Source organism: Homo sapiens, chromosome 19, assembly GCF_000001405.40.
Source record: "Homo sapiens chromosome 19, GRCh38.p14 Primary Assembly".
NCBI classification, from domain to species: domain Eukaryota; kingdom Metazoa; phylum Chordata; class Mammalia; order Primates; family Hominidae; genus Homo; species Homo sapiens.
This window is the reverse complement of record NC_000019.10, coordinates 32,901,792-32,924,719: the sequence shown is the minus strand read 5'-3', so window position 1 is coordinate 32,924,719 and position 22,928 is coordinate 32,901,792. Positions and strand designations below refer to the sequence as shown.

Sequence of the window (22,928 nt, the reverse complement as noted above, 5' to 3'; positions counted from 1 at the left end):
GTTTGCCTGACCCCTGTTCCAAAAAAGAGTCACATGGACTGCCAGCAGTGAGTGAGTGTGTCTGGGTGGAGAGATGAGAGGAGAAGTTACTTGGCAGTGCTGCTTTAAGTTAAAAGGGTGTAGGCATAAACACCTGACAGCTGGGAGTAGAATATTTTACAGGCACACCAGAGTAAATATTGGCACCTCAGATTCTCACCAAAGGACAGCGCAGGACACGGAAGCTGGAAAAGCCCTGATGGAGGAGGCTCAGCTGAAGTGTCACACACACAGACTGTTGGGAGCTGAAACAGACATAGACTGTTAGGCATCAAAACCGGCCCAGCGACAGACCTCGTGTTGTGGCTAATGGCCAGTGAAGCTCTGCAGACTGATGACGCTAGTAAGACACTTTCTCATGGTTGTCATGGACAAAACTAAGAGCCTTGGCTGGATGTGGTGACTCATGACTGTAATCCCAGCATTTTGGGAGTCTGAGGCAGGAAGATTCCTTGAGCCTAGGAGTTCAAGAGCAGCCTTGAGTAACATGGCGAAACCTCGTCTATACACAAAATACAAAAATTAGCCAGGCATAGTAGTACAGGTACTTGGGAAGCTGAGGTGGGAGGATCGCTTGAGCCTAGGAGGTTGAGGCTGCAGTGAGCTGTGATTGCAGTACTGTACTCTAGCCTGGGTGACAGAGCGAGACCCTGTCTCAAAAAAAAAAAAAAAAAAAGAGCTTCCTCCAACTCCCACACTAACTAACCCCTTCCCCACCAAATCTAGCTTTAATTAAGGATGAAAAGTCTTATTTTTTATATTAAAAACCTCCAATTTATTCTCCTGCATCTTCAAACAAAGGAAAAATGTCAGCGTTGATGGGCATCTCTGCCTTTTCTATCAGTATTCGGCAGTTATAGAACAATGTTAGCAAATTAGGAATCTAATACTCGAAAGCCCAGGTTCTTTGCCTCTTGTACTTGGCCTTGCATTTGGTCCTAGTGCTTTCTCACTAGACCGTAAGCTCCCTGAGAGCAGGCACCACTGGTGCTGGTACCGAGAGTTGAAGGCTGGCCTGTTGTGAGACCTTGCTAAATGGCTGTTACCATTTGATTTTAGCCACAGCAGCAGCACCAGAACTGAGAAATATAGATGCGTGGGTATGTGTGTGTTATAATTTACGTACATTTTATTTCAGGAGGAAATGAGAATGTTTAGGATGCGAGTCCAAGAAGTGGTGAAAGAAAATGAAGAATTGCACCAAGAGTTAAATAAGAGTAGTGCTGTTACCAGTGAGGAATGGCAAGTGGCATTGTGTTTCTGCTCTTTTGCTAATTTAAAACAAATGGTAACAGGAAAATATGTTATAAAATTATCAAATACATAATTACATTCTTAACTAAAATATTTTACGGGAGAGTTTCTAAGAAATTAATAAGGTACAATAAAACCCTAATAAATTATTCTAAACTTACATTTTCAAGATGACTTTTAAAATTCTAAGTAGGTTCTCAAACCTGAAATACAGTTGCTTTCTGCTTTTTATTTTCTGAGTTGGTATTTTTCTAGGGTGATTTTTCCATCTCAGACCTGGAGAGTCTCGTCCCTTCTTAGGCCCCAGCGATGGCTCCCAGGGTTTCAGAACAGAAAGCTCAAAATGGCCTCCCAAAACAGAAAGCTCATGAGGCTTGCACGACCAGCTTCCATCCGCCTGCCCTGGCAGATTCCCTGACAACTGAGGTTGCCCCACTTCCAATCTGTCCTTCCTCCGAAAGCCCCTTCTGCACTCCTCATCCTCTAGGGTCCTACTGTAATGGCACTTGTCTATAGCACTGCCTTCAGGAGAGGCCATTATTGCTCCCTTGTCTCTGTTTCTTTTCTTTTTTTTTTTTTGAGACAGAGTCTTGCTGTGTTGGCCAGGCTGGAGTGCAACGGTGTGATCTCGGCTCACTGCAACCTCTGCTTCCTGGATTCAAGCGATTCTCCTGCCTCAGCCTCCTGAGTAGCTGGGATTACAGGCACGTGCCACCACACCTGGCTAATTTTTGTATTTTTAGTAGAGATGGGGTTTCACCATGTTGGCCAGGCTGGTCTCGAACTTCTGACCTCATGTGATCTGCCCACCTTGGCCTCCCAAAGTGCTGGGATTATAGGCGTGAGCCACTGCGCCTGGCGTCTCTGTTTCTTATGTTTTTTTAGAGTTAGGGTCTCACTCTGTCACCCAGGCTGGAGTGCAGTGGCTCAGTCATACCTCACTGCAGCCTCAACCTCCTGGGCTAAAGCCATCCTCCCACCTCAGCCTCCCAAGTAGCTGGGACTACAGGTGTGTGCTACCATGCCCAGCCATTTTTTAAAATTTTTTGTAGATACAGAGTCTCACTGGGTTACCCAAGCTGGTCTCGAACTCTTGGGCTCCAGTGATCCTCCCGTCTTGGCCTCCCAAAGTGCTGGGATTGCAGGCTGGAGCCACTGCACCCGGCCCCTTTGTCTCCGGTTCTGATGTAGCCTTAAACACATGCCCTGTCCCGGTACCTGCCACACTGCGCCTGCCTATCCTGTCTGCCTCCACATCTGCCTCCATCTTCTCCTTTGTGAACTCCTCAGGGGCAGGAACCAATGTCCTGCTCATTTTTGTGTGTGGCCCCGCATCTAGCACAGCAACAGCAAATGCCTGTTAACTGAATTAGAGAAAGTACATGTCTTGAAAAGCCTAAAAGCAATATCCAGGCAGGACTAAGAAAACAAAAATTACTCACTTTGAATAGCTATGTTATATTTAGTGTTTTCAAATGTCTTAACATCACTGGAAAAAATGAAGTATTTTCTATATGTGATGTTTAGAAATCTGGAATTGAGTCAACAGCATTCTTACCATTGGCTCTCCCTGATTTTGTGGTCACCGATGCGTCAGGTGGGACTGGCTCAGGCAGCTCCTGGGTCTTGGTGCTCTGTGACCTCCCTGGCTGAGCTTGGATTTTCTTCCTTCAGGGTTCCTAGTGTGTCTCCCCTCGCACCCTCCTTGAACAGTGGACTGGAAAGCAGCTTAGCCAGGCTGGGGCTCAAGAGACCTTGGCAGATTCTGGAACCCCAGATTCCTTCCCTAGCATTGTATACAGCCACAAATCCAACTTGTCTGCGTTTCCTTAAAATAAAACCAGTGAAAGAAAGGAAAGAAAGGCAGGCCCTGCTTTCAAATCCACAGCCCCGCAGTGTTCCCCAATCCTGCATTTGTTGGGATTTGAAATCTGCCCTTTGCTCCAGTGTGATGGCCCACGCCAGCATGGGGAGAGTGTCAGGCTTGCTCAGGGCCTCCCTGGCCGCCAGCCTCTTACTTTGAATTCACTGCCCTCCAGCTGCAGGAGGGTCTCTGGGCTCTGGAGCATCACACTTGGTGGGCAGACCTTGCCGCTCTCGGTACCTGCACACCTGCACGGCTGCTAAACCTGCATGCAGCACTCGGTACACGGACTTCACACTTCAGCAGACACTTTCTTTCTTTCTTTCTTTCTTTTTTTTTTTGAGACAGAGTCTTGCTCTGCTGCCCAGGCTGAAGTGCAGTGGCGCGATCTCGACTCACTGCAACCTCCACCTCCTGGGTTCAAGTGATTCTCCTGCCTCAGCCTCCTGAGTAGCTGGGATTACAGGCGCCCACCACCACGCCTGGCTAATTTTTTTTTTTATTTTTAGTAGAGACGAGGTTTCACCACGTTGGACAGGCTGGTCTCCAACTCCTGACCTCAGGTGATCTGCCCGCCTCGGCCTCCCAAAGTGCTGGGATTACAGGCGTGAGCCACCGCACCTGGCCCAGCAGACGCTTTCTGCTTGGTTGCCAGTAATTTCTCAATGAACTTCTGGGGTGCAACTAAATTTTGTATATTTCTTTTCCTAACTCCCCCTGAATCACTGGGTGACCTCAGGCTTAATGGGTCTGTTTCTTTCTCTATAAAATAAGAGGGAGGCTGGGCACAGTGGCTCACGCCTATAATCCCAGCACTTTGGGAGACTGAGGCAGGAGGATCAGTTGAGGCCAGGAGTTTGAGACCAGTGTGGCTAACATGGTGAAACCGCATCTCTACTAAAAATATAAAAAATAGCCAGGTGTGGTGGTGCACGCCTGTAATCCCAGCTACTCAGGAGCCTGAGGCAGGAGAATCACTTGAACCCAGGAGGTGGAGGCTGCAGTGAGCCTAGATCGTGCCACTGCACTCCAGCCTGGGCAACAGAGCGAGACCATGTCTCAAATAATAAAATAAATAAATAAATAAATAAAACAAAATAAGAGGGAGTGTTAAACCAAATCTGAGATTTTGAACTCTTTTTTAGGAATGGGGGATTGATCCCTTTCATTTTAAAAAGAAATGGCTCAGGCTTAGTGGTTCACCCCTGTAATCCTAATGCTTTGGGAGGCCGAGGTGGGAGGAGCACTTGAGGCCAAGAGTTCGGGGCTGCAGTGAGCTATGATCACACCACTGTGCCTAGGTGACAGAACAAGACCTTGTCTCAAAAAAACAAAAACAAAAACAAAACAATTAAAAATTAGCTGGGCGTGATGGCATGCACCTGTAGTCCTAGCTATTCAGAAGGCTGAGGCAGGAGGATCGGTTAAGCCCAGGAATTCAAGGCTACAGTGAGCTCTGATGGCGCCACTGTACTCCTGTCCTGCCTGGGTGACAGAACAAGACCCTGTTTCTAAAAAATAAAAAGTGAAATGAATGAAGGAAGGGAGGAAGGAAGGCGTGAACAAATGAATGAATGAACAAATAAAGAAAAAGTCTTATAAATTAGTCCAAAATGCGGCTGGGCATGGTGGCTCACGCCTGTAATCCCAGCACTTTGGGAGGCCAAGGCAGGAGGATCACCTGAGGTCAGGAGTTCGAGACTAGGCTGGCCAACATGGTGAAACCCTGTCTCTACCAAAACATACTAATACAAAAATTAGCTTGGTGTGGTGATGCATGCCTCTAATCCCAGATACTCAGGAAGCTGAGGTGGAAGTTGCAGTGGGCCAAGATTTCACCACTGCACTCCAGCCTGGGCAACAGAGTGAGACCCTATCTCTAAATAAATAAGTCTAAAACATAAAACAGACCATCATGGAGCTGCCCAGTTTGTGGCGGGAATGAGGAGGCTAGCACAGACCAGTTTTGGGCGAGCCCCCTCCCAACAGCATGGCAGCCCACTCCCTGGGTGCTGGTAGCAGGCAAGAGGCACCCCCACAGTGCCCAGGAGCCAGTGCACACCACTGTTGGGGCCACACCATTGTTACAGCCTGACTCCTTTCATCTTGTCTCTCTCCTTCCTCCTCCTCACCTGTAGGGTTTCAAGTGGAAAATCGAGATTATTTACTGCTTTAGTAAATAAACTTAACGCCCAGTGTACTTTGGGTGGTCAGCATTTCACTAGATGATTTCTAAGGTCCCTTCAGCTCATTCTAATCAGAATTTGCGATCTTGAGGGCTGAGCTGGGCTGGGTTTTACATTGCACTGGAAGGAGAGGATTTGTTTGTGCTGAGAGGAAAGCTGGGGCAGATTCATACAGTTTTAAGAAACCATTTCGGCTGGACGCGGTGGCTCATGCCTATAATCCCAGCACTTTGGGAGGCCGAGGCGGGCAGATCACGGGGTCAGGAGATCGAGACCATCCTGGCTAACATGGTGAAACCCTGTTTCTACTAAAAATACAAAAAAATTAGCCAGGCGGCGTGGTGGGCATCTGTAGTCCCAGCTACTTGGGAGGCTGAGGCAGGAGAATGATGTGAACCCGGGAGGCAGAGCTTGCAGTGAGCCGAGATTGCGCCACTGCACTCCAGCCTGGGCAACAGAGCAAGTCTCTGTCTCAAAAAAAAAAAAAAAAAAGAAAAAGAAAAAGAAAAAAGAAAAAAGAAACCATTTCAAAGCCTGCTAACAGAGTCAGTTTTTTTTGTTTTTTTGTTTTGTTTTGTTTTGCAAATATGCTACTGATTACAAAGGAGTATTTTAAAATTGAAATGGGAACTTTCTAAATTCTTTAAACATGTTCCATATGGGCTTCAGAATAATATAGTGGGCAGCAGGACTAGAGGTTTATACAGATGAAACCTCATCAGCCATTTAGTGACTGTTCAAGCTGGGTATTGTGCACATAGGAGTCTCCTACTCTATCCTCTTTACTTCTGTACATGTTTGAAATTTTACATCTGAAAGCGTTTTCTGAAGCAGTCCGTAATTCAGACTTCACGGCTGTCCTTCCTCGCCTGACTGCAAATGGCAGGATTTGCTGCTGTGTTAATATGTTTAACATGAAGACATGACTTGATATTCATTACCTGTAATGCAGCCATTGCTTCCTTTTAGATTCCAGAGTGTTTCTGTAACCATTCAGCACCTGAATCACAGTATTTCATCTTGTAAATCAATTGCAGGCGTCAGCTTCAGACTCAAGCAAAACTGGTTTTAGAGGAAAACAAGTTGTTGCTGGAGCAGTTGGAGATTCAGCAAAGGAAAGCCAAGGACAGCCACCAGGAGCGCCTCCAAGAAGGTGAGGTCCTTCCAGTGAGGACTGGTCATGCATTGATGTCACTATTGTCATTTTACCCTTCTATCTCTCTCCTGCCGGGGGCCCCAGTTGAAAATGAGAGAAGTCATGTTTTGCATTTTTGACTGGAATGTGGCTGTTTATAACCTTTCCACGTCACTACCCTCAATGCATAGATTGCTTTTTCAGACTCCACAGTGTCTCTCATCATCCCATGGGTTTGTAAATCACTCGTAGGTAATAGTGCTAGACTCAGCAGAACTGGTTTTGGGGTAAAATAGTACCTTAGAAATGGGAATGATCACGTGAGGTAAACATCTGAAATAACACAGGGTCTCTTCCCAGATGTTTGTTGGATGCGTAAGCAGAACCATTCACTTTCTAAACAGTTCCCCTGTGTCCTTCCTTCCTTCAGAGCTGCGGGCCTGGGAGGCGACATCACTGCAGGTTAGATTTCCATCAAACACCTTCCGAGAGTGTCCCTCTTCCCATCTCTTCCCATGCATTCCCCCAACCCCTAGGAGCCTCATAGTCTGTGACAGTGCACAACTGTAAGGGGGCCAGGTTAAGAGTCATCGCTTCTGCTTTAAAACCGTAATTCATGAGTACAAAAGATAGTGGCATTTTTTCCCTTTGCTTTACTGATTTTTCTTTCTTAGTGAAGAATGGCATAGGCTGGGAAGCTGAAACACAAGCCATCTTGCATGAGGCTGTGGCACCCTGAGAAGCAGATGGAGGTTTTCCCTCTCCAGCTGCTTTTGGAATGGCAGCCCCTTCCACAGCATGGCAGGTCCATGAACAGCCCCTGCTGTTGCTGCAGTTGCAGGGCTAGCACTTCCTGTTTCTGAGAACCAGGTCGTGTTTAAAGATGAGAGCATCTCCCAGAGATGCACACAGGAGTTTCCTCCATGTGATTTCTCCTGAGACCTGCATGGCCCAGGAGTATTTGCCTTTACTCCGGCATTGTTAAGAGGAGAGGGGAAACAGAGTTGTGGAGCCTCTTATCTTTGTTTTCAGGGTTAGGGATGACATTAGTTTCCTATTTACTGAGCTTAATTTTCTTGAATATACCAGATCTGAACAGAAAGAGGATTTCTGGTCACATGGGGCAGGGAAAACCTTTTGACCTCTATGATTCAGTGAGTTGCCTGTGCTATTTTCCCATTGCCCAGAAACAGCGATTCACTTTGACCAATTAGATATTTTCTTTTTATTTTTTTTGAGACAGTCTCACTCTGTCGCCCAGACTGGAGTGCAGTGGCATGATCTAGGCTCACTGCAACTTCCGCCTGCCAGGTTCCAGCGATTCTCCTGCCTCAACCTCCCGGGTAGCTGGGATTACAGTCACGCGCCACCACTCCCGGCTAATTTTTGTATTTTCAGTAGGGGTGTTTCACCATGTTGGCCAGGCTGGTCTTGAACTCCTGACCTCAAGTGATCCACCCACCTTGGCCTCCCAAAATGCTAGGATTACAGGCGTGAGCCACTGTGCCCAGCCACCAATTAGATATTTTCATAGAGTAGAGAGATGTACAGTTTTATGCTATAATAAATACCTCTAAGTGCTAGTGTCGGCAGACGCTTGGGAATTATTACATGCAACCATGTAACACAGGATGAAAATATTTATGACTTACTTTAGATACAAGACATAAAATAAAAGTTTAATGACGAAAGGGAAGGAGAATAATAAATCCAGTTCTTAGTTTGGCCATGTTTGATGTCCTTAAAAATCTTGAAAATTTTGCAGCTTTAGGGACAACGTTATGACATATACTTACACACCTGGGTGTGATTTAAGGCTTTACTCTTAGGAAAGTCAGTTCCTTGAAGACTGGAATCATGTTTGGTAAAATATTATAGTGGATTTTATTTTAAAAAGTATATATTTAGTGAGTGCTTAATGTAGAGATAGTAATTTCTTTTGGCTTTTTTGGTTTTTGTTTTTGGAGACAAGGTCTCGCTGTGTCATCCAGGCTGGAGTGCAGTGGCCCAGTCACGGCTCACTATAGTCCTGAACTTCTGGGCTCAAGCAGTCCTCCTGCCTCAGCCTCCCGGATATCTGGGACCACAGACGCATGTCACCATGCCCTGCTAATTTTTAAATTTTTATGTAGAGATGGGGTCTCACTATGTTACCCAGGCTGGTCTCAAACTCCTGACCCCAAGCAATACTCCCCTCAGCCTCCCAAAGGGCTGGGGTTACAGGTATGAGTCACTGTGCCTAGTATGGACAGTAACTTCTAAGGACAAAGCCTTTGGTGTTAATTTATAACACTCCAAAATATCTTTTTTTTTTTTTTTTTTTCTGAGAGAGTCTCACTCTGTTGCCCAGGCTGAAGTGCAGTGGCGTGATCTCAGCTCACTGAGCCTTCTCGCCTCCTGGGTTCAAGTGATTCTCTGCCTCAGCCTCCTGAATAGCTGGGATTACAGGCGCCTGCCACCACGCCTGGCTAATTTTTGTATTTTTAGTAGAGACAGGGTTTCACCAACTTGGCCAGGCTGGTCTTGAACTCCTGACCTCGTGATCCACCCGCCTCAGCCTCCCAAAGTGCTGGGATTACAGGTGTGAGCCACCACGTCTGGCTCAAAAGATCTTTAAAAGGTCATTTTTATCAGCTGACTCTCATTAGTATTTCCTAATAGCCCATAATTGTGTTTTGTGAGGTCTTCTGTGCCAAGTTTTTATCTTCCTCTTTTGATTTTCAGTTTCTAAGCTGACTAAACAACTAATGCTCCTGGAGGCAAAAACCCACGGCCAGGAAAAGGAGCTGGCGGAGAACAGGGAACAGCTGGAGATTTTACGTGCCAAATGCCAAGAACTCAAAACACACTCGGATGGCAAAATCGCAGTGGAAGTTCATAAATCAATTGTGAATGAATTAAAAAGGTAAGGATTTAATGTTTTTTCTTTTTTTTTTTTTTTCTTTTTTCGAGACAGGGTCTTGCTATGTTGCTCAGGCTGGTCCCAAACTCCTGGGCTCAAGTGATCTGCCCATCCCAGCCTCTCAAAGTTTTGGGATTACAGGCATGAGCCACTGCGCCCAGCTGATTTAATGACTTTTTGAGTATAATGAGTCACTCTGCCTGTGGTTATAGGCAGAATGGAGAGAGGTTGCTCAGTTCTTTCTGGGTTTCTTCACCTATGGTCATGCACAGCATAGTGGCACAGGTGTCTGAAAGTGAGACTGGGACTTTTTTTTTTTGGGACGGACTCTCACTCTGTTGCGCAGGCTAGAATGCAGTGGTGCAGTCTCGGCACCTGTAACCTCCACCTCCTGGGTTCAAGTGATTCTCCTGCCTCAGCCTCCTGAGTATCTGGGATTACAGGGGCGGCTCACCACACCTGCCTAATTTTTGTATTTTTGGTAGAGACGGGGTTTCACCATGTTGACCAGGCTGGTCTCAAACTCCTGACCACAAGTGATCTGCCTGCCTTGACCTCCCAAAGTGCTGGAATTACAGGTGTAAGCCATCACGCCCAGCCTGACTTTTTTTTTCTTTTAATAACTTTGGTAATAAATGGTAAATTAAAGTAGAGCCTGGCTCTCCTTGAGGGCTGCAGTCTGCACTTTGGGTGTTTGTGATTTTTTTTTCATACTGTTTTGGCCTGTGTTAGTTTTAGAACCAAAGGCAATTTAAAATAGTGGAACTGGGCTGGGGGTAGTGCCTCATGCCTGTGATCCCAACACTTTGAGAGGCCAAGGCAGGCAGGTCACTTGAACCTGGAAATTTGAGACCAGCCTGGGCAACATGGCGAAACTGCATGTCTACCAAAAAAAATAATAATAATACAAAAACTAGCCAGGCGTGGTGGTATGCGCCTGTGGTCCCAGCTACATGGGAGATCGAGGCTGCAGTGAGCTGAGATCACGCCACTGTACTCCAGCCTGGGCAACAGAGTAAGACCCTGTCTCCTATCTCAAAAAATGATAAATAAATAAAATAGTAAAACTGGAAACCTAGATATCCAGTAATAAGGAATTAGTTAAATGAAAGGATATATCCTTGAAATGGAAGGAAATGCAGTCATTAAATATGATGTGACACAAGATCCTTTTTGACATAGGAAAATAGCCACCATATGTCTGTTTTTTTACAATGTTGCTCAGGCTGGTCTGGTCTCAAACTCCTGGACTCAAGCAGTTCTCCTACTACCTCAGCCCCACAAGTAGCTGGGACTACAGGGGCGTGCCTGCCTGGCCACAATATATTTTAAGTAATGAGTTTAGGTTTTAAAACAGCACATAGAAAATGATTACAATTTTATTTTTTAAGACGTGTGTGTGGCCGGGCACGGTGGCTCACACTTGTAATCCCAGCACTTTGGGAGGCCGAGGCGGGTGGTTCAGCTGAGGAGGGGAGTTTGAGACCAGCCTGGCCAACCTGGTGAAACCCTGTCTCTACTGAAAGTATAAAAATTAGCCAGGCATGGTGGCAGGCACCTGTAATCCCAGCTACTCGGGAGGCTGAGGCAGGAGAATTGCTTGAACCTGGGAGGCGGAGGTTGCAGTGAGCTGAAATTGCAATACTGCACTCCAGCCTGGGGGACAAGAGCGAGACTTTGTCTCAAAAAAAAAAAAAAAAGTGTGTGTGTATGTGTGTGTGTAACCAACCATAACAGTTTGCCTGGGACTGAGGGGTTTCCCAGGATGTGGGACTTATAGTGCTAAAATTGGGAATGTCCTAGGCAAAGTGAAATGAGTTGATCATTCTAGTATGTATGTATAAATGTATGTGTTTGTATAATTACATGTGTATGTGCGTGTATATATATACCTATGTATGGTATGTATGTAATTGGTAATTGGCCAATTGGTAATAGTCCGGGTAGGAGGATTGCTTGAGCCTAGGAGTTTGAGATCAGCCTGGGCAACATTGTGAAACAACAACAACAACAACAACAACAACAACAAAAAAATATATATATATATATATGGTGGCTATTTTCTCATGTCAAAAAGAATCTTGTATGTGTGTGTATGTAAGAGAGAGAGATATGGTATATATACATATGGTATATATGATAATTATGTATAGGAAACATACATAATTAATATGTGTAACTAATATATGTATAATTATATAATATTTTGTATAATTATATATGAATATTTTATATATTTATATTTTTTATTATTATATATTTATATATTCTATTTTTTAAATTTTTTTTAATTTTTTTTGAGACGGAGTCTCACTGTCGCCCAGGCTGGAGTGCAGTAGCGCTATCTCGGCTCACTGCAGGCTCCGCCCCCCGGGGTTCACGCCATTCTCCTGCCTCAGCCTCCCGAGTAGCTGGGACTACAGGCGCCCACCACCTCGCCCGGCTAATTTTTTGTATTTTTAGTAGAGACGGGGTTTCACCGTGTCAGCCAGGATGGTCTCGATCTCCTGACCTCGTGATCCACCCGCCTCAGCCTCCCAAAGTGCTGGGATTACAGGCATGAGCCACCGCGCCCGGCCATATTTTATATAAATTATAAAATTATATGTGTGTAGCTATATAAAATTACATATGTACTGTAAGTACATAGAAAAAAGGCAGAATGGGAAAATATTAATAGAACATATCTTTGGCAGATGAGATTGTAAGTGTTTCAACCAGGGTTTTCGAGAGAAGCAACCAATAGGATAGTGAGAAAAAGAGAGAGAGTGAGATTTCTTTTAAAAATTGGCTCACACAATTGTGGGGGCAGGCAAGCTCAAAATTCATATGGCAGGCCAGCCCATTGGAAACCCAGGCAGGATCTCCATCTTACAGTTTTGAGGCAGAACTCCTTCATTGAGAAACCTGTTTTTGATCTTAAGGCCTTAGATTAGGCTCACCTACATTACTGAGAGTAAATCTCCTTTATTTAAAGTCAACTGATTGTAAATGTTAACGACATCAACAAAATACTTCACAGCAACGTCTAGTGTTTGAGCAAACAACTGGGCACCATAGCCGAGCCAAGGTGACACATAAAATTAACCATCACAATGAGTAATTTTAATTTTCTTTTTTTTCCTTTTTTTTTTTTTGAGACAGAGTCTTACTCTGTCACCCAGGCTGGAGTGCAGTGGCGCGATCTTGGCTCACTGCAGCCTCCACCTCCTGGGTTCAAGCAATTCTCATGCCTCAGCCCCACTCATAGCTGGGATTACAGGCATGTACCACCACATCCGGCTAGTTTTGTATTTTGTTGGCCAAGCTGGTCCTGAACTCCTGGCCTTAAGTGATCCGCCTGCCTAGGCCTCCCAAAGTGCTGGGATTACAGGTGTGAGCCACCAGCCTGGCCTTTTGTATGTTTTTATATTTCCAAGTGTCCTATTCACTTTTGTAATAAGGGGGAAATAATGTTTTAAACGGTGAGCCTTTCAGCTCAAAATGGTTGACTGAATACCTATTGACTTCTGTTTCTCTCCAACTCCTCCTTCTCCCTCCATAGCATTGGTGTGGGGCAACAAATGAGCTAGTGCATGTGAAGCTTGGTGCTTAAGTAAATGCTAGTGATTCCAATTACTGGAGCCTGGTTTTGACTCTGCTATTACATGCTGACTAAGCCAGACTCGTGCTTTTCTTTTTCTTTTTTGAGATGAGATCTCCCTCTGTCACCCAGGCTGAAGTGCAGTGGTACGATCTTGGCTCACTGCAACCTCCACCTCCTAGGCTCAAGCTATCCTCCGCTTCAGCCTCCTGAGTAGCTGGGACCACAGGCACGTGCCATAGCACCTGGCTATTTTTTGTATTTTTATTAGAGACAGGATTTCACCATGTTGCCCAGGCTGATCTTGAGCTGGGCTCAAGCAGTCCACTCACCTTGGCCTTCCAAGTGCTGAGATTCCAGGCATGAGCCACCATGTGTGGCCAGACATGTGCTTTTTTGTTGTAGTAGAGGAAGGAAACATTTTTGAAATCATGTTCATCTTTATAATTTTATTTTTCTCAAACATCTGCTCCTGCGACCAATGTGTTTTTGTGGCAGTGTCATAACTACAAAAACATACAGCCATGTACCACATAACAATGCTTCAGTCAACAATGGACCACATATACGACAGTGGTCCCATACAATTATAATGGGGCCAAAAAATTCCTATCACTTAGTGATGTCACAGCCATTGTAACATCGTAGAGCAATGCATTACTCTCGTGTTTGTGGTGATGCTGGTGTAAACAAACCTACGGCACTGCCAGTCCTGTGAAAGCCTAGCACATGCAGTTATGGACAGTACATAATACTTGATAATGATAGTAAATGACTGTGTTACTGGTTTATGTATTTACCCTACTTTTTATTGTTATTTTAGAGTGTACTCCTTCTACTTATAACAAAATAAAGTTAACTGTAAAACAGGCTCAGGCGGGTCCTTCAGGACGTGTCCAGAAGCAGGCATTGTTATCACAGGAGGTGACAGCTCCATGTACGTTACTGACCCTGAAGAGTTTCCAGTGGGATGAGACATGGAGGTGGAGGACAGTGACATTGATGATCCTGTCCCTCTGCAGGCCTAGGCTCCTGTGGCATTTGTTCTTCATTTTTTTAAAAAATGTGTAGAAAGTTTAAAAAAAATTTAATAGAAAAAAGCTTGAGAGTAAGAATATAAAATTAGAAAATATTTGTACAATGTGTGTTTTAAGCTGTGTTATAAAAAAGTCAAAAAGTTAAAAAATTAAAAAGTTTATAAAGTAAAAAGTTACAGTATACTAAAATTAATCTATTATTGAAGAAAGAACAATTTTAAAAATAATTTAAATGTAGCCTAATTGTACAGTATTTAGTCTACGAGAGTGTACAGTAATGTCCTAGGCCCTCACATGCACCCACCACTCACTGACTCACCCAGAGCAATTTCTTTCCAGTCCTGCAAGCTCTATTCATGGTTAAGTGCCCTGTACAGGTGTACCATTTCTCTCTCTCTCTCTCTCCCTCCCTCCCTCCCTCTCTCTCTCGCTCTCTCTCTCTCTCTCTCTCTCTGAGGCAGAGTCTCGCTCTGTCACCCAGGGGCTGGAATAGTGCAGTGGCACGATCTCAGCTCACTACAACCTCTGCCTTCTGGGTTCAAGCAATTCTTGTGCCTCAGCCACCTGAGTAGCTGGGATTATAGGAGTGTGCCACCACGCTTGGCTAATTTTTGTATTTTTAGTAGAGACGGGGTTTCACCATGTTGGCCAGGCTGGTCTTGAACTCCTGGCCTCAAGCATTCTGCCTGCCTCAGCCTCCCAAAGTGCTGGGATTACAGGCATGAGCCACTGCATCTGGCCTATCTCATCAATCTAGGTTGACTGGTATTTCATTAGAATATGTGTAGGTGTGGGGGTCTTTTTTTCATTCGCTGCAGTGGGTACCTCTGCAGTGAATCCACCAAGGTCTTCAGAGGTCTGCAGATGCCCTTCAGCTATTCACTTCTTCCTTTCTGGTGTCTCTCGTATCCTTCTGAGGTTCCTGATGACCTAAGGCTGGACCTCCTGGATGGGTCCTCCACTTCTAGTACCTTTTCTCTCCATTTCCCAATCGTTTGTTTCCTTAGTTCTGAGAGATTCCTCAAATATATCTTTCAGCCCTTGTGATATTTTTTAAATTCTGGTAATCATGTTTAGTCTGGCTCTTATTTAGTGACTGTACTTTCTTTTCTCATGGCATTTTGTTCTTTTAAAACTTCCTTAGTCCTCTGTTATCTCAGTTTCCCTTGAGCTTCTCTGCTTATCTGGATCTCTCTTTCATGTTGCAATTTCTTTCATCATGCCTAATGACCCTTGTTGCTTGTTCACATCTAGTCATCTGTTCTGATTTTAGGAAGAGGAACTACTGGTACTTGGTGTGTACTGTGTCAGTTGAGGGATTTTCTGCCCTGGTGGTTCCCTGTGCAGGCATCTCCCTGGCTGCTGAGCAGGCCTCTGTGTATATAGATAAGGTGCATGCAATGGTCAGCTTTACTTTAGGATACAGGTCTCCCACAAGCCAGGATAAAGGCTTCCCTTTGTAGATACAACCTGTCCCCTTAAATCTTTAGCTCTCCCCAAAAGAGTTTGCTAAATTTCCTTAGAGAAGTGGGTTGACACCTTGTTTTTCTCCCACCTTCATCTTGAGTAAGCCCAATCTTTCTAGAAAATAGTAAAAGCAAAGAGAGCCATCTCTGCTTCCACATGTGACCGCCAGTCCAATCCAAAGCCAACTGACAGCTCACCAGGAACATGAGCTTGTGCCATTTCCCGCATCATTGTTCCTTCCATGCAGGGTTGCCAATGGGCAGAGAAAGCAAGACAAAATACCCATTATTTGCCTTCTTTTCAACCAGGGTAGGTGAAAGAACACATACACACCACACCTCGAGGCTTGCCCCACACAAGTTCAATGAGCCCTTTTATCCCTACACAAAAATCTTGTCCTCATGACCTCACCTTTGCCTGAGGCATAACCCTTTCCCAAACTCCTCCCCAGACATTCCCCCGGTGTGAGCGCTGGTTCAGCAGCTGCTTTGCTGATAAATCAGTGAGTATTCTGCATGTGGCCTATCTCTATTATGATGCCAACATGGGAAGGGGCTCCCTAGTGGAGGCTGTCGGAGGGCACTTCTGCTCCCTTGCCCTCCGAAGTGCCCTCCAAAGCTCCAAGGTGTCCTCAGCTTCTGTAGCCAAAACAAAAACACTCAGTTTCCTACTCCTCATTTTGTCTATTTTTCACTAGGTCTTCATGGAATTCCACATATTCGAGCTCTGATGAATTCCTGCCCCTCTTCCATGTTATAAATTCTCTCTCCAAACACCGCCCCTTCCGCGGGACAGCCCATTAGGGTCACACTCCCGGCTCCATCCTTCTCATTCCTCTACCCTTGACCCATCTATCGACTCTGAGCCCAAAGCTGTTCAGCCAAAGCTGCCATAAAGGCTTTCCCTCCCCAGCCAGTTCATTCTGAGCCACAAAGGTCTTTCTCCAATTTCCACTGAAAAAAGATTTGGTGGCATCTTTGTTATTTTAAAATGGTCATTTCTCCCCCTGCCTTCACCATTAATGACTTCTTTTTAAACTTTTTATACCTTCTTTACTTACATCTAGGGGGCTATCAAAACACAATCGTGTGTCACTTAATGGGGATACATTCTGAGAAACTCATCATTAAGTGATTTCGTCATTGTGTGGGTATCACAGAGTGTGCTCACACAAAGCCACATGGCATAGCCTCCTGCACACAGAGGCTAGATGGTGGAGCTGTTTGCTCCTAGGCTACAAACCTGCACAGCATGTTACTGTACTGAACACTGCAGGCAACTATAAACCAATGGTAAGTATTTGTGTATCTAAACATATCTAAACAGAAAAAGTACAGTCAAAATACAGTAGAAAAGATAAAAATGGGGCCGGGCACAGTGACTCATGCCTGTAATCCCAGCACTTTGGGAGGCCGAGGCAGGTGGATCAGTTGAGGTCAGGAGTTCAAGACCAGCCTGGCCAACATGGCAAAAGCCTGTCTCTACTAAAATTACAAAAATTGGCCAAGTGTGGTGGCATGCGCCTATAATCCTAGCACTTTGGGAGGCTGAGGTGGGCAGATCACTTGAGGTCAGGAGATCAAGACCAGCCTGACCAACATGGTGAAACGCCATCTCTACTAAAAATACAAAAATTAGCCAGGTGTGTTGGCACATGCCTGTAGTCCCAGCTGCTCAGGAGGATGAGGCAGGAGAATGGCTTGAACCCAGGAGGTGGAGGTTGCAGTAAGCCAATATCACGCCATTGCACTCCAGCCTGGGCGACAAAGTGAGAATCCGTCAAAAAAAAAAAAAAAATAGAGAAACCACAGACATGTTTGGAGGGAAAGCATTTATGGACTGTCCTCAGAATGTTAGACTAAAATGTGTTATCTTTATTCTCTTCTTTTAGTTTAAGATATGATCTCATCTTGTCTCAGGCTGGAGTGAAGTGGCTCAATCATGGCTCACTTGCAGCCTTGAACTCCAGGCTCAAGCGATTCTCCTGCCTCAGTCTCCCCAGTGGCTGGGACTATAGTCACGCGCCATCGTGCGGGGCTAATTATTAAGTATTTCTGCAGCGATGGGGTCTTGCTGTGTTGCCCAGGTTGGTCTTGGACTCCTGTTCTCAAGTGACCCTCCTGCCTTGGCCTACCAAAGCGATGGGATTATAGTCATGAGCCACCATGCCTGGCCCCTGGTCTTTCTTCCTTAAGCCACAGGGAATAAAAGTGTTTCATTTCATCTGGGAGGGTTTTAAGAAAGTCCTGGGTGAGGCCAGGCGCAGTGACTCAAGCCTGTGATCCCAGCACTTTGGGAGGCCAGGGCGGGAGGATCTCTTGGGCCCAGGAGTTTGAGACAGAGAAGCTCTAAAATTTCTTCAGGGAACTACAAAACATGACATAGTGGATTTGAAAAAGAAACAAATAGAATTTTTAGAACTGAAACACACAATAGCCAAAATTAAGAATTCTTACTCTTAAAGATGTTGTTTATATATATATTATATGTATGTATATATATTTATATATGTAACTATTAGTATTTATATATATATCTATATATGAGGATAATAAGATGGAGAGAGACTTGCAGTCAGGAGGACTGCTTTAGATACAGTGTTCAAGGGAGGCCCCTGAGGAGGGGATGGTTGATTCAAGGCAGGATGCCTGAGAAGCAAGAAGGAAGTAAAATGAAAGTAAATGATAGTGGTAAATATATAGATAAATGTAATGAACACTAAGTCTATAAAATGATAATATCTTTGGGGATTTAAGAATACATAAAATTAAAAGGCACAACAATAATAGCATATAATCAGGCACAAGGCACATGGAGTTTGTGTTCTAAAGTCTTTATATCATTAGAAGAGGATAAAAGTGTTGACTAATTTTATAATTTGAAAATATGCATGATGAAATTTCTGGAAACAATGTATATAACTTTTAAACTAGTATGGGGGTAAAAAGAATGATTAAAAAACAATCCAAATAAGAGCAGGAAAATGAAAGGTGGGCAAGGGGCGAATAGAAAACAAAAAGTAAAATGTTAGATTTAAAGCCAAACATACCAGCAGTAGATACGCTAAATGGATAAAATGCTCCAGTTAAAAGACAAAGAATGTCACAGTGTAAACTAAAGCACATCTGTGTTGTCTTTAAGATATATGTCCCAAGCATAAGGATAGAGAAAGGTCAAAAGTAAAAGGGCAGGAAAAGCAGTACTACTCAAGTACAAACCAAAATAGACATGGTAGATCTTAATCTCTAACAAGGTAGATGTTAAGGTAAAAAATACTACTTAGGCCAGGCATGGTGGCTCAGTCCAGAGGTTCAAGACCAGCCTGGGTAACATAGGGAGACCTTGTCTCTGCCATAAATTTAAAAACTAACTGGGTGTGATGGCTTACCGTCTGTAATCCCAGCTAATCAGGAGGCTGAGGCAGGAGGATGACTTGAGCCCAGGAGTTTGAAGCTGCACTGAGCAGTGATTGCACCACTGTACTCTAGCCTGGGCAACAGAGTGAGACCCTGTCTCAAACAGAACAGACAACAATACTAAGCAAAGAGGATGATTCACAAAGATAAAAGGCTCAATTTACCAAGTAGAATTCACACAAATTTAAATTTGTGTGCACCTAGAAATAATTTATGTCAATACATTTGAAAATTTAGATGAAATAGTCAAATTCTTTGAAAAGCTTACCTTAAAACTGACTCAAGAAGAAGAAGAATACCTGAATAGTCCTATAATCATTAAAAGAATTGAATTAAAAAAAAAAATCTTCCTTTGAAAACTCCAGGCCTGGATACCTTCACTAGAGAGCTCTACAAATATTCAAGGAAGAAATAATTTCAGTCTTACATAAACCTTTCTAGAAACAGAAAAAGAATTAATGCTCCTTAATCTAATGAGGTTAGTATAACCTTGATACCAAAACCCAACAGTGATCATATAAGAAAGGAAAATTACTTTTCATTTCACTTATGAATGTAGATGTAAAACTTCTATTAAATTCTAACATTCTAAAGTTCTATTAAAAAATACAGCTACAATAAAGATCACACCAAATAGGGAAATGTTGAAAGCTTTCCTATTGAGATTGGAAACAATACAAGGTTGCCCTCTGACACCATTTCTGACAACATTAACAGCACTGGCTACCAAGTGGTAACTGACACACGTGGCATGAAAAACTTAGAAGGTTTGGGAAAAGGGAAAACAATAGTGTCATTATTCATAAATGACATAATTCTATCTGTAGAAAACAAATCTACAAATCATTAAAAATAAGAGGTTTTAGCAAAATTGTTCAAAACAGAAAATTTATAAAAATTAATTGTATTTCTTTGTAGGAAAAAAATGTGTAGAAAATGGTATTTTGGGCCAGGCCTGGTGGCTTACACCTGTAATCCCAGCACTTTGGGAGGCTGAGGCAGGTGGATCATGAAGTCAAGAGATCGAGACCATCCTGGCTAACAGGGTGAAACCCCATCTCTACTAAAAATACAAAAATTCGCTGGGTGTGATGGCGCATGCCTGTAGTCCCAGCTACTTGGGAGGCTGAGGCAGGAGAACCGCTTGAACCTGGGAGGCGGAGGTTGCAGTGAGTGGAGGTGGCGCCACTGCATTCCAGCCTGGTGACAGAGTGAGACTCCATCTCAAAAAAAAAAAAAAGGAAGAAAGAAAATGATATTTTGAAAACTAAGGTAATGATAGGCTATCATCATGAGAAAAAATTTTTTTAATTAAAAGGAAGGAACCATCGACAAAGCTTCACAAATAGATGTGGAAAGATTTACAGTACTTCCGTTGGGAAAATTATGAAACTTTATTGATTACATGATTTCACTGGGTGAAGAATTCCAAGCTGACAGGTTTTTGGTAGTTTGTGGGTTTTTTTCCATTCAGTTTTAAAGATGCTGGCTGTTGATAGTCTTTTGGCTTGCGTCGTTTATGATGAAAATCTGCTGTCACGGTTATCTGTATTCTTCTGAAGATAACGTGTGTTTTCTCTGAGGCTTCTTTTAAGAATTTTTCATTGTCACTGTTTTTCAGCATTTTAATTGGGATATGCCTTAGCATGGTTTCTTTCTTTCTTTCAGACCCTTTTTTGCACAGGGTCTGGCTCTGTTGGACAGGCTGGAGTGCAGTGGTGCAATCACTGCTTGCTCCAGCCTTGACCTCCTGGGCTCAAGTGATCCTCCTGCCTCAGCCTCTCGAGTAGCTGGGACTACAGGCATGTGCCACTGCTCCCGGCTAATTTTTAAATCTTTTGTAGAGACAGAGTCTTGTTACGTTGCCCAGGCTGGTCTCAAACTCCTGGCCTTGAGGGAGCCTCCTGCCTTGGCCTTCCAAAGTGCTGGGATTACAGTGGGGGACCCCACACCCGGCCAGCATGGTTTCTTTACTCTACATGAAGTTCATTAAGCTTCTTGGGGCTATCAGTGTGTATTTTTCATCAAGTTTGGAAATCTTTTGGCTATTATTTCTTGAACGGTCTCTTCTGTTTTTCCCTCTCACCTCTCCTGGACTGCTTGATGTTGTCCTGTTGACTGTTCTGTTCACTTTTAGCCCACACTTGTTTCTCTCTGGGCTTCAATCAGACAGTGTCTATTACTATCTCTCTTCAACTTCACAAATCTATCCTTCTACAATCTAATCTGCTGTTAGTCCCATCCAATATATTGTTCACTTTGTGTAATGATTTTTCCCATCTCTGTAAGAAAGATCCATTTGAGTCTTTTTTGTATTCTCCGTCTCTGTCCCCAGCATGCTATTTTTCTCTTCTTTCTCAAATGTAGGAGCATGTTTTTCTAAAAACCTTTGTTTGCCAACGCCATCATCTCTCTCACTTCTGAATCTGTTCTGTTGATTTTTTCCCCTCCTGATCATGGATCATATTTTATTGCTTATTCTCATGCTTGATTGGGTGCTGGATGGTGTAGATTTTATGTTACAGGATGTTAGACATATTGCATTGCTTTAAATAGTGTTAGATTTCATTCTGGTGCACACTTAAGCCACTAGAGAATTGTTGGATTATTTATTTATTTGTTTACTTTCTTTTCTGTTTTCTTTTTTTTTTTCTTTTTGTAGAAACAGGGTCTTGTTATGTTGCCCAGGCTGGTTTTGAGGTCCTGGGCTCAAGGGATCCTCCCACCTCAGCCTCCCAAAGTGCTGGGATTACAGGTGTGAGCCACCGCATGTGGCTAAGCTGGATTCTTTCAAAGCTGATTTTTGTTAGGGTGGGCCCAAAGCAACCTCTAGTCTTAGGGCTAAGTTAGCCCCACTGCTAAGACAGTAACACTCTTCTAAGGATTCTATCCAATATCTCTTTTATTATAAGGCCTTTCCATTCTGACTGGTGGGGTATGAACTATTTCCTGTTCTTTGTGCATGTCAGAAATTGTTCTGCCTACTGTTTGTAGTGTTTCTTTCCTAGGCTTTACGCAGTTTCCTCTCACACACGGACAGATCAGTACCCAGCCAAAGACCCTTCAAGGTCTCTAGAGCCCTTTCTCGCTCCGTGAAACGCCCTCTGCCCTGCCCTGGAAATTCCAGCTGCCTTGACCTTCCTGCTCTTGGATCTCTGGCTCCTGGGCTCAGCAGGTGTCTGCCAGACAAGAAGGTGGAGGGAGCAGTTGCAGCACTCACCTTGTTTTCCCTTCCCTTTGGGATCACAGTCCTGCCTCGCCTGTTGTCCAAAGTCCGAAAACTGTTGTTTCTTCTGTTTTGCCTGGTTTTTTAGCTGAGGAGTAAATCTGGTCTCTGTAACTCTATCTTGGCTGAAAGCAGAAGTCTTGGTATTTTCAACATTCTTCTTTAACCTTTTATCGTTAATCCAGTTCAACAATTTATCCAATAAAATAATAGTTAAATAAGTTTTCAGTGAAATAAATGAATCTTGGATTTTGTATGTTTTACAGTTACAGTTGACAAACCTTAAAATCATATATTGTTGTGTATTCCTGCTGCGCTGGTAAAGGATGCAGCCCCTATCCCAAGTTACTCTCTATGCAAATTCGGTAACACCCAAGCTGGTGTTCAGCAAAATAAGTGCCCCTTTGTTCTTTGTTTCTTTTGTCTTAAAAACATGTATTTATAATTACATTATTATGGAAAAATTGTTTTAGCAGGTTTTTTTTAAATAAATCTGGCATTTATAACCATGTAAAAAATAGAGCTATCTTAGATTTTTTGGAAGGAATAGGGTATACACACACATACACACACACACACACACACACACACACACACACAGAGAGAGAGAGAGACAGAGAGACAGAGACATAAGCCAAAACTGTGGGAGAAAAAGAGGTTAGATCATCACCATCAAAGAAGTTTGTGGCCAGGTGTGGTGGCTCATGCCTGTAATCCGAGCTCTTTGGAAAGCTAAGGCAGGAGGATCACTTGAGCCCAAGAGCTCGAAACCAGCCTGGGCAACATAGTGAGACTTCATCTTTACAAAAAATACAAAAA

General features: G+C 43.8%; 1 protein-coding gene across 5 annotated transcripts in view; it reads left to right on the top strand.

Moving 5' to 3' along the window:
* Window positions 1–22,928, top strand: part of CEP89 (centrosomal protein 89) — a 96,034-nt gene that overhangs the window by 47,239 nt on the left and 25,867 nt on the right. For 3 of the 5 annotated variants that reach the window (NM_032816.5, XM_047439562.1, XM_017027398.2), the window contains 3 exons: window positions 1,178–1,281; window positions 6,381–6,496; window positions 9,203–9,383. In NM_032816.5, coding sequence (NP_116205.3) covers window positions 1,178–1,281; window positions 6,381–6,496; window positions 9,203–9,383 — 401 coding nt within the window. Of the gene's footprint in view, window positions 1–1,177; window positions 1,282–6,380; window positions 6,497–6,908; window positions 6,941–9,202; window positions 9,384–22,928 lie in introns of those variants that run through there. The other 2 variants (XM_047439563.1, XM_005259344.4) reach the window with 2 other exon arrangements.